General features: G+C 34.3%; 1 protein-coding gene across 4 annotated transcripts in view, besides 1 other annotated feature; it reads left to right on the top strand.

The window, feature by feature from the left end:
- LRRTM4 (leucine rich repeat transmembrane neuronal 4) overlaps positions 1–12,804 on the top strand; it is a 774,692-nt gene that overhangs the window by 125,166 nt on the left and 636,722 nt on the right. The gene's annotated exons all lie outside the window — the stretch shown is intronic.
- Positions 9,421–9,989: an enhancer, noted in NCBI's record as "NANOG hESC enhancer chr2:77614348-77614916 (GRCh37/hg19 assembly coordinates)". NCBI's record gives its function as "activates a minimal SCP1, AML or CMV promoter by ChIP-STARR-seq in naive H9 embryonic stem cells {active_cell/tissue: H9 hESC(naive)}" and the evidence as "EXISTENCE:reporter gene assay evidence [ECO:0000049][PMID:30033119]".

Genomic DNA, 12,804 nt, shown 5'->3' with positions numbered 1-12,804 from the left:
CTGCAAATTTCTATTATGCAAATAGAAATATTTTGATCTTGGTATCACATACTTGTTTTGATAATCAGCTAGGCAATGCATGTAAAAAGAAATCTGAGAAACACAAAATTCTGTTGAAATTGTATATATTATTATTAGTTCACAGCATACAATGCATCCTCTTTACACTTAGTAAACATCTGTTGAATGAAAAAGTGAATCAATGAGTCAAGCCATCTGTTAATCGTGTCTTGCTGCATTGGAAGCCACAGGTCAAGAGTTGCTATTACATGTGATTTATCCATGGGTAAAATAAAGAATCACAGTAAGAGAAGATGGTAGCAATGTCCACTCTTCAAATATAGATTCTTTTAAGAAACGTATATTCAAACATTGATCTCAATTGAACTTGTTGCTCAACACTCTATCAGCAACAATGCTGTTTAATCACTTTACTGCTGTCTGTGTTGTTGAGAAAAAAAAACTATTGTGCATATTGCCTGGTTTCACCAATATATTGCCTAGTTCCACCAATAAATAGCCTCTTTGCTGTCTACTACGTGGTTGAAATATACCTCTGACACTGCTTTTTATTAAATTCTCATAAATATACATTTATATCAGTGAAAGATATAATGAGGGAAAACTTTTATAAAGACTAAATTTACTGCATTTGGATTTAAAAAATTTGTAGACTCAAGAGTCAAATAAGCCAAATTTACTTTCTTCTGTCATTCATTTAACAACATTTAACAAGTTCTCACAGTATGCAAAGCTGTCTAGGCACTGTGGGAGATATAAAGATGAATTAAACACACTTCCTACCTGTAAAAACCTTAGCAGAGATAAAAAAACATGCCTAAATTGCTAGAATACAAGCTGGAAATGATGAATGCCTTGAGGGGAGCATAAACAATGTCTGTTGAGTTCAGCGGTGGTGGAGATTACTTTCTTGCTGAAGGTAAATATAGAATACATATGCAAATATAGAATACATATGTGTAAACACACACATACATACATGATTAAGGGGGTTGTTATATGCTAATCAGTCTTTAAAATGTTAATCAGCTTGTAAAATGAACAAATCTTTTTGGTGGTTTTAATTAAAAAAACAACAAAATTAAACATATCCTAATGATAGCACCTAAGTGATTCAGAACAAGATCCTGCTTTAAATGTTCAAAGAAATGTTTCTGTGCAAATATTAATTCCAAGCCTGAAAAATATAAAATATAATAATGAGCAAAATTAACTCCCTGGCAAATGTCATAGAATCACATTCATTTTCATGTAATTATTTAAAACCTGGCTAAAATTATGAAGAAAAGTGGACCACTTAAGAATGAAAATCAAAGGAGAGTAGCTGATGTAATACTGAAATGAATATTAGTGAATGTGAAAGCATCAAAATATTCTGAGTGTTTTAAATAATTTGAAACAAGGCTTTGGTCCAGTGGACTTAAAGCATAGATATTTCAAAAATGACTCTGGCCAGCTAGTCTCATTTGTCTCAGTGTATAGATTGCAAAATCAATTTAGGTCTAGTAAGAGGAGCTCAAGTTAGCTATTATAAATTTTCTTAAAACAACCTAAATATGAAGAAAGCATCAGAGCAACTTATTAAGAACTGTCAACTTATAAAATTCTATAAATTGGCTAAAGAGGCTTGAGATAAGTTGTAGATTAGGTGGTCTCCTCAAGGGAATTTATGATGGCACAACCAAAACTAGCTAAATTCAAGCACTGGCTACTTTGGGGTCTAGCTCTGTGTTTTCAAGAAAATTCTGTAATCTTCCTGAACCACCTTCAGAAAGTAGATATCTTAAATCTCAGGCTACATTAATACCTACCTCATTAATTGTTTTTAAAATTAAATGAATTCATACACATGAAGTAAGACTAAAATTAAAATCCTAAGCCTTTCAACTGACTGAACAGACTCCCTTTTGGCTAAGGAGACCACAGAAAACCCTTATCAACAGAAGTTCCTGGCCATGACAGGATGAGAGGTCAGATACGCCTCTTATATTGGCTTCCTTTGTGGTTTAGGCACAACTGACCAGCAATAATGTTAAATTAGAGATCATAAGACTGATAGAACAGACTCTTTGTGGCCCAGTAAGATGCCAAAGTATAAACAAGACCAAAGGCCATGCCAGGCAAGGGTTAATTCACACACCCTTACACTTAAAGAATAAATTCTAACTGCCACAAGGTTTTTCTGTCTAGCAGCTAAATAAGCACTGGCCTCAAGATAAGCAAATTAAGACAACTTGAGCTCAATGCCAGAATCTGACCCTCCACCCCCTGTTCCACAAGCCATAACTACAGCTTTGATGGGACAAGAGACGGATTTCACTCACTTTCTTCTGATAAGAGACCACCAACCCTGGCCTGGTTCTGGCTGGTTTACATAGGCTGCACTCTTGAATGCCTTCGTGTTCCTGCTTCACCTTTTGACATAGGGGGCCTAACTGTAATATATTTAAACATTAAGTCTCTACCCCAAAGTGAATATGAGTTGTACGTAACCTGCATGTTCATTCAGTATGCATGTGTTAGGACGCCCTTCATGAATATTCACGGCTCCTCCTGTAACTTGTTGTGTATGTGTACTTGGTCAACCTGTTCGGTATAAATCCCTGTTTCACCCTCACATCGCTTGAAGTGCCTGCTTCTGGGCCCTCCTGGAGGCTTCTTTTCCCAGCCTGTCAGAATGGCCATCTTGCAGGCTGTTATCCTTTATGAGAAATAAAATCTCCTTTCCAAATTTATAGCTCTCATGATTTTTTACTTGACAGAAGTTTAAGAATAGCATCATCTCAGAAATTAACTCTCGGTAACTATCTTTTCCAAAAGTGAAAATACAATCTTGACAGTAAGGGAAGGAAGGAGAAAACACTGACATGGGAAAATTGATTGTCACTAATGCTATAATGATTATTTCTTTTCCTGCATTAAAACCTGAGTGGAAGCTAGAGACATTACAACAGAATAAGTACATTAAATTTTTAAATTTATTTTCTTTTTACACATTTTTCACTTTTTTTCAGCAGCTGTTTATAGTCTGTAATTTGCTTATTCTGTGATTCTTGATGTAAAATTTTGAGTTGCATAAATAAACCTACAGCTACATTACAATACAGAGGGATTCCTGAATGTTGCAAAAATGAAGGTATTACATCCAATACTTCATTGCAGTATGATTGCCAGGTTAAATATAGGACACATGGTTAAATATAAATTTCTGATAAATCAGAAAAACTTTTTTTCGAATAAATGTTAATACTAACAAATTATTTTGTTTGTCTTTAAAATTCAAATTAATGAGTACATCCTGTATTTTTATTTGTAAATCTGGCAACCCTGGACTCTTAAGAAATACACTAATCTCCAATGTACTAAACCAAAAACAAATCAATTAACAAGTAGCTCTGTCCCTTTGTTGTAGTCCCTGCCTCCACCTCCTTTATTTAGACTATAGTCATTCTCTCCCTAACAATTTCAGTAGCCTCCTAACTGCCTCTGGTTTTACATGCTCCCTCTTCCAATCTATTTTCCACACTGTAGTAAAGTGATTGTTCCAAAAAACAAACCTGATCACAGTGACTTGTCTGCTAAAATCTTGCCAATATTTCCCCAGAGCCTTCCGGATAAAACATAAGCTCTTTAGTAAATAATGTAAAGTCTTAGGTGGTCTATGTCAGCCTTCTTCTCTAGTTTGGTGAAAATTAAACTCCCGCAATGAACTTCATCCTTTTGCCTGGAAGGATCTTCTCAACCTCACCTTTTCCCCTGGTGAGACTCCTACTTGCCAATCTGAATTATGTACCTTTTCTCTTATGTTTTCCCATAGTGTTCCAATTTTAGCACTTTATAACAGTTGTCGAATAGGACTGCAATTGTCTTTTCTACTCTCTAGTCTGCCTGGTAGACTCTATGCCGTGGGAGGGTTAAATATAGGACACATGGCTAAATATAACCATGTGTTTTTGTTTTTCTAATTTGTTTTTCTAATCTTTAATACACACTATTTGACAGTTCTTTTAAGTGTGTTGAATGAAGAAGGAGATTTCTAGTTAAATAATATATTAGGATAGCAAGATAAGATGAAAAAAGAGAATTACGAAAAGCTGTAATAGCAAAAATAAAGCAAAACTTTTAGTGTGCTCTAATGTTTTGTCTACCTTTGATTATTTATTGGTGGCATAGTTCTTTTTTTAACCGAAAAGTAAAAACTATATATATTTATGGCATACATGATGTTTCAATATATGTATATGCTGTCTAATGGCTAAAGCTAACTATTTAACATATGATAATCCCTACTTATAATTTTTGTGTGTGATGAGAACACTTAAAATCTACTATCTTAGCAGTTTTCAATACAATGTACTGTTATTAGCTATGCTATTAGTCACCATGATATACAGTAGTTCTCTTGAACATATTCCTCCTGTGTAACTGAAATTTTGTGTCCTTTGAGGAGTATCTTCTCAATATCTGCAGCCCACAGCCTCTGGTAACCAATATTTTACTCTCTGTTTCTATGAGCTCAAACTTATTACATTCCACTTGTAAGTGAGATCATGTGGTATTTGTTTTTCTGAGCCTGGCTTATTTCCCTTACCATAATGTCATTCAGGTTCATCTATGTTGTACAGATGACCGGATTTACTTCTGTCTGGCTTCTTTTGTAAGGCTAAATTATATTCCATTGTGTATATATACTACATTGTCTTTATCCATTCATCCATTGATGGTGTAAACCAAAAAGTATCTGAGACAGGTCTCAGTGAATTTAGAATTTATTTTGCCAAGGTTAAGGGTCATAGCTCATGACAAGGCTTTAGGAGATCCTGAGAACATGTGCCCAAGGCGGTTGGGCTACAGTTTAGTTTTGTACATTTTAGTGGGAAATCTCAAAGTGGGATGGGTGGGGGGCAGGGCTTCCAGGTCATAGGTGTATTTAAAGATTTTCTTATTGGCAATTGGTTGAAAGGAATAAGCTCCACCTGAAGAGTTGAAAACAGCTTGAGTTAAGATATAGGGATGGAGATTGTGGTAGCCAAGGTTCTTGTCATGTAGGTGAAGCCTCCAGGTAACAAGCTTCAGAGAGAATAGATGTAAATGTCTTTTATCGAAGATGTCAGACTCTTTGGAGGGACCTAGTAAGGGAAGGAGATTCTCTAAAGAATGCAATTTCCCCCAAGAGATAGCTTTGCAGTGTCATTTCAAAATATGTCAAGAAATATGTTATGGGGTAAAATACTTTGATCTCTTTTTAGGGTCTGTTATCTATTATATGTTGCCGTACCAGAGTCAGGCTGGAGTTGGTATCCTATTGCTACAGTCTGTTCTGTCAGTCTTAGAATCTCTGTTTTAATGAAAATGCCAGTTAATTGTGCCTGAACTCCAAAAGGAGAAGAGTATAATGAGGCATGTCTCACCTCCCCATTCCAGTAATAATCATGGCCTGAACTAGTTTTTGGGTTTAGTTGGGTCCCCTTGGCTGAGAGGGGTGGTCCATTCAGTCAGTGGAAGGAATTATAAATTTGCAATGGACATTTGGGTTGATTCCATATCTTGGCTATAGTGAATGATGTTTCTTTCCATGAACATGGATGTACAGGTGGCACACTTCTTGGCATACGAGGTAAATAACTTCCAATCATTTGTTTAAATACTGAAAAGGTTTATAAGTAACAATATCTCATTTTAATAAGCCTTGAAGACAGATGTGAACTGAATAACATGAACAGAGAAAGAATTCCTTAACTTCTAACCAGGATATTTTAAAATTTGACATAAAACAATGCATTTTTAATGAATAAAATATACACAGTGTTTAAAAAGTACAGAAAGCACCTTGTCCTGCTCACCCAGCCATTTACTGCCTGTCCCAGAGATAACCATCTGCAGAGTTTCCCAAGTGCCCTTCCAGAGACCATTTGTGCAAATATAAGCAAATAGAAGCACATACACATTTCCATTGTTTCTAAGGGTAATTAAATCTTCAACCAATAAAGAATATAAAGTTATAAAGCTTTCATCTGTCCTATTCAAGCAGTAGATTTCATAAGAATAATTATTTTTTACTTGGTTTCACTGTTTTAATCAGTAATTAAGTAATTAAATATTCATTAGTAAAGAATTTGTAATGTCCTGATTGCAAATTTTAAGTGGGTCATGCTCCCCAAAAATAAGCTCCTTTTCATTGTCTGAAGTTCTTAAAAATTTAAGCAGACAGACTCTCTAAAAATTATATATTTTCTTTTTTTCAGTTATTTCTTCTCTGTGTTGCATTTTTGAACTTTTTATTTCTCTAACAATCTTTGCATTCATTTTCAATGCTCAAAAAGATTAAAAATTAAAGTATAGTTGTTTACAAAGTATATGAAATATATTTTCATCAAAAATGTTAGTGAAAATAAAAGTACCAACTTATGAAAATAAGTTATTTTTCTTGTAAAATATTTAATATTATATTTTACACTTTGTTTTGGCCTCTCAATTTTAATTTTGAAAATCATCATCATCATATATAATATTATTTAACGTTTTAAAGATAAATTAAATTTATAGCATATTTAATAATAATAAAGCTATTTATAATTTGTCCTTTCTAGAATACAAAGAACATTTTGTTGTTATTGTTAAGAGGGGAAATGATGCTTCACATATGTTATGTCTAAATCTTCATATATACATATTTACCAGCGGATATCAATTATTTTATAATTCAAGATGTTTCTTGACTGCAATGTGCAATTTGTATGAAAGTTGCATGAGTGTTTCAGTACTTTTGGTAACAAAATACAATAAGATAAAACAAATAGATGTTCCTCAATTTTGAGAAATGATATTTTGTTATGCTAGAATCTATTGCCTTCATGGTAACTTTACTAGTAAATATGTGTGTCTTTTTTCCTACCTAAGCCCGTCCACTGCTTTACTCTCTCCATAGTGTTTAAATGTTGTTTATCTTCCAATGCAGTACAGCACACACATTTTTTCAGCACTCAGTTACACTTAACTTTGTTTTAAAATGAATAGGACAAATGTTGAAAAGTGTTTCCTGGGGTCTGAGCAGTGTTAATATGAAAGTAGATGTTTAAGACTAAGCATTATCTTATGCTGAATTTGAATGTAAGATTCTGAGTGACAAGGTGGCCATATGTTCTTTAGTACATGTCCTGAATGTGTTGTTTGTGAAAGGTCAAGTATTCCTTTAAGGTCATGGACCCAGGACAGGGACCCTTCCTGACCAGATTTAAGGGTAGCACTGATGTGATCATCAGATTGTCTGTTTTTCCTGGGTACAATTTCCATAAATGCTCTCCATTAGATTCACATAACCTAGCAGTGTCTGCCACATATTAGGTGCTCAAGAAATGAAAAGAAGAAAGGAAGGGAAGGAAGGAGGAAAAAAGAGGACGAAGGGAGAAAGGGAGGTTGGCTATTATATTAACTTTTCCTGCTTGTGGGGTGATGGGGTGGGAGGCATCTCTTAGCTCATTTGGCGGTGCTTTCTTGAAATAGACATTTTAAGCTCTTCTTGATAGTAGATAATTTTTAATATAGGGAACTATCAGTGTCTTTGAGATAATCAGCCAGGAAATATATTCAAATTATCAATCCACTCTGCTAAATGAATAACATTTAACAATTCACAAATAACAAGGACTTTATAGTCTTTTTGTTTTCTATCTAAACAAAGTGCTTATTAGTAAATAATCACCTGATAATCAACTGTTTGAAGTTACTCACCTACTAGTTACTTTTGTCTTTTTAACACAGTTTAACTGTTCTACCTTATCACAAAACTTATTTAGCTTTATCTTTGGTGTTGGCTCTGAGAAAGACTTCGGTGCCTTTTTTGGCAGGTAGAATTTAACATCTAATTAAGTTCCTCAGACTTTACAAATTTCTTTTTGAAACAAAATCAAGCAGTTTTCAGCCCTTTTAATTATCTATCCTGTTGTTCTGTAGTTATATTAAAATATAGGTATAATAAAAATATAGTTAATTAGAGTTGGATTGGCAATATGTTTGGCAGCTATTAAAACAGTGATACACTTCAAAGTAAGATTGTAAACTTTTCTCTCAGCATTTTTTAATGCTTAATAACATGATTTTCATAAAACTTAAAATACCTGTGAATACACTAATATTTTGTTTGACATTATGGAAAATCCTCCATTGTTTACCATCTAACTCTTTCTGAATCCATACTATCCTTAGAACTTCTCAATAAGTCATAACTTTAGTGAAATGGTTATATTATATTAATAGATATTTGGATGAACACATTACTGTTTACAGAATACTTGCATTATATATGAAACTTTAAAGTAAAAATATATATGCAAGAATATATATATTTATGCAAAATAGCATGTATAAATACATACAGATTTTTTATCTATATATCTCTCTCTATATATATTTCAGTGAATGACAATTAATGGCATAAAACAGATTCACCAGCATGGCTGTCTTGGAAAAGATGGTCAAGACTTACAGAAAACATCCAGCTAAGATCAAAATATCAAATATAATTTACACCAAACTGAATCAGTACTATTTAATTAATAGGACTATGAATGATTTGATACATATAAATAATGGTAATCAAAATAAATACTTCATAAACTATCCTAAAGGAAAAAAAATTATAAATTTCAAAAACACTTACATTTAACTGCAACACAATTGCATGGAAAAAAATAGTTTAATGGCCGCAGTAAAGTGAAGAAAAGAGACAATGAATGAAAGTGAGAAGCTCTCTCAGATTTATTTCCTCCTTGTCAATGTAACTATGAGTGCAGACTCCTTCTGTATTGCTGTCACAGTTTTGAATGTCTGCCGTAGAGAAATAATATGCTGGCCTTGTAGTTATAAGATCTTTTCCACCAACTGCACGGTATGACCTTAAAGGGATTTGGACTAGATGATATTTATATCTAATCTAATCCTTTCTGTGACGATTCATTTTGTTCACTTCTCCACACGTAGAACCTAAATAACTGTTCGCTTTCAGGAACCCTGACTTTTTTTTTTTTTTAAAGATTGAAGTAACTAATCTGACTTTTCCTTCTCTGAAGATGGTCATGTTCCTCAGTCCTGCATCACACTCTCAGGCAAATCAATTTACCACGCAATGACAATAAAGACTTTCCTCTAGTCCACACCATGAAGCCTGCATCAAAGGAGTGATCTGAGCAGAAAAAGAACAAGAGCCTGATGTTATCCCGTCATGTGTAAATATGAAGTGGAGAATATTTAAATATCCTGATCAATTTTTTTTTTACTATCAATGAAGTGGAATGTAATAAAAATGTGAGGGCATTTTAATAGTATAATCTTTATTCAAAAAACATAATATGGTGAAGTAACCTCATTAACTATTAGCTGTATGCTTTCCAACCCATTACCGTTTTCCTGCTTTTTAAGTAATTTTCCTCATCAGGTAGAATGATTGCCTTTAGGGAAGCTAGTCCTTGTCAAGAACTGTGAAGGGCCCGCGGTGTTAGCCTGCATGCAAGCTGACAAGTTAGCCTTCTCAACTTTCATACAAGCTGGCAGAAGACACATGAAGGGTCCAGGCAAAGCAGGCAGCATGAATTGTGTGTTCACGTGGGCTCCCCTTGTCCACCCCTGAATCCCAAAAGTAATGCAAAGTAGGCCAACTTAATGGTGTGCATGTACTGGATTTGCATGACAACTGAGAGACCTTGAGTGTAAGAAACCCCAGCCTTGTAAAGAGGGCTGCTAGCAAACCTGCCAAACCTTTGCCACAGAGGGAGACATACTGGTTAGCCTGCCCTTTGCTCAGAAGACATACAGGAACATGAGAAGTCCATGGTGGATTGCTTCCCACAGTCAGCAAAAACAAGCAAACAAAAACTTAGAAAATTTCCTTTGGTTTACAAATCAGCAAGCTTATATATATCAGTATGTCCCCTTTCCTGAGCAAAACACACAGAAATGCTATAATTAACCAAATATTATCATATCTAACATCTATAAATGCCTATGATATTTCATGGCATTTTCATATATACTTTCATTCTAATTCTTAAAGCGTCTCCATAAGGAATATTATACTATTCTCAATTGCATAGGTAGGGAAAGTACACTTCATGCAAGGAATATTGCCTGCCTCTCAGTCATGAAACCGTTCCATAGTGGCACTGGGCTTCAAATCCAGTACAGTAAATTGAGAAGTAATTGGCATGAGACCTTAAAATTGAGTGAATGTAATAACCAACTTTATTTTTTTTAAGTTCTGGGATACATCTGCAGAACATGTGTTTCGTTACATAGGTATACATGTGCCACGGTGGTTTGCTGCACTATCAACCCAACAGCTAGGTTCTAAGCTCCACATGCATTAGGTATTTGTCCTAATGCTCTCCCTCCCCTTGCCCCCCACTCCCCGACAGGCCCTGGTGTGTGATGTTCCCCTCCCTGTGTCCATGTGTTCTCACTGTTCAACTCCCACTTACGAGTGAGAACATGCGGTGTTTGGTTTTCTGTGGAAGACAGTGTGGCGATTCCTCAAGGATCTAAAACCAGAAATACCATTTGACCCAGCAATCCCATTACTGGGTATATACCCAAATCATTCTACTATAAAGACACATGCACATGTATGTTTATTGCAGCACTGTTCACAATAGCAAAGACTTAAAGCCAACCCAAATGCCTATTTTCTGGATAAAGAAAACGTGGCACATACACACCATGGAGTACTATGCAGCCATAAAAAATAATGAGTTTATGTCCTTTGCAGGGATATGGATGAAGCTGGAACCATCCTTCTCAGCAAAATAACCAACTTTCGATCACAGCATTTCTCTTTGTTTTATTCACTTATTAGATATACTTGACTTATGTAATTAACTTAAGAGGTAATATTGTTCCTTATGTAAATGTACTAGCATAAGATCAACCTGGATGTATAAATTTATAAAATCAGCCACTCTTATTTGTGTTAGAAAGCTTATGCATCTAACTTCAACACTATTTGTTCTCTCTTTTTGGTATTTTAGTCTTCAAATGCGATTATTTTTGTGGATGATTTTATGAGAAATTATGTTTAATAACATATAATATTTTTTAAAGAAATAATTGGTTTATTTCAGAACTGCTAAAATTGTACCATGTGGCTGGGCATGGTGGCTCATGCCTGTAATCCCAGCACTTTGGGAGGCCGAGGTGGTTGGATCACCTGAGGTCAGGATTTCGAGATCAGCCTGGCAAACATGGTGAAACCCCATCTCTGCTAAAAATAAAAAATAAAAAAAAAATAGCCAGGAGTGGTGGCAGGCACCTGTAATCCCAGCTAGTCGGGAGGCTGGGCCAGAAGAATCACTTGAAACCAGGATGCGGAGGTTACACCGAGCTGAGATCGTGCCACGGCACTCCAGCCTGGGTGACAGAGTGAGACTCCATCTCAAAAAAAAAAAAAAAAAAAAAAAAGTACCATGTACTACATAAATATATTATATATTTTTATTTTTTAGAAAAAGAAGAGAAAACAAAAAATACAGTCTACTTATTACAACAGGTGTGAAAATTTGAGATTAATACAATTCTAAAGGATGCTTTAAAGTGATTTTTTGATCATTTTAAGGATATCAGAAATTATACTTCTTCAGTCTGAAGTTTTTTGTTAGAAAACTACTATTTTAAACCTCATCAGTGCCGTAGCACACTGCCTAAGTAGTCAGTGACTGGGTTAATTAAGAAGCAAAGAATCACACTACACAAACATTTTCAAAGCCAACAATGGCTAAGAGGATTTTTCCTTACCAGTGAATCTGCTTGGAAAATCCCTTTGGAACCACAGTAAACACTATTCTTTTCTCTTGCCTATTGTTAATGTAGTTGTTAGTTGACTTAATGTTGGCTGAGCCCTAAGGACAAAAGGTTGAGAAATGTACAGTTAAAATTATTAATGGAATTTATAAAATCAAGTGGTTCATTAGAGTATAATCTACTGCAGATCCCTTTTGAAAAATTTTATTTTCCATTATTTTGTGATTTGTTTCTCAGGGGCAAGTTTTAGCCTACAGATATTCACTGTGATTGGTGATCGTTACTTTGTAAAATATGTTACAATAACAATGTTATTATTTACCTTTCTAACAGTGTTTTCATTCTTCCCTTTATGTTTTCTTTTTGCACATTTTTAGCTTGGCATGGCATTTAGAGAATTAACATAACTCCGGTTATAACTGGTAAAGAATTGGTTCTCTGTAAATACCTGCTGCTTGAATATTATAATATTTGTGGGTTTGCTATAGCATATTTGTATAACATGAAATTTGTCTTTGCTAGAGGTGGATTTTAGCTTATAGCAAGATAAAGTTCACATATACTAACTTTAAATCTGAGCTTGATCCATTTTCGCTTACTTTCCTTTACAGATTTGTTGTTCCATCAACAATGGTTTATTTACTTTCCCAGAAATATTATTTCAGATTTGTCTTTTTACCAATTCCTTTTCCTTTTGCCAGAGAGAGATACAAAGAGATAAAAGCCAATTTGGGTTCTATCTTTTCTTTAATCTTTTCCTTGAACATCCAAGTTTTCAATGATCTTTCAGTTTCAATTTCTAAATGCCATTTTTTTCATTTTATTTTGGTCATGAGGATCTTAGTATAAACCTGTCTATTGCTATTAGTAATACTATTACTAATGGTAACAGTAACATTAGTAAGCAAAGTAGTGATAAGTAATTATTAAGAGTTTAATGTATGTTAGACATTGTACAAAACACACATTTTCTTATTTCTTATAATATCCTAATAC

The sequence above is a fragment of the Homo sapiens genome, chromosome 2 (genome assembly GCF_000001405.40).
Source record: "Homo sapiens chromosome 2, GRCh38.p14 Primary Assembly".
In the NCBI taxonomy this organism is placed as follows: Eukaryota; Metazoa; Chordata; class Mammalia; order Primates; family Hominidae; genus Homo; species Homo sapiens.
Note: the sequence above shows the minus strand (reverse complement) of the source record. Positions and strands in the feature narration are given on the sequence as shown.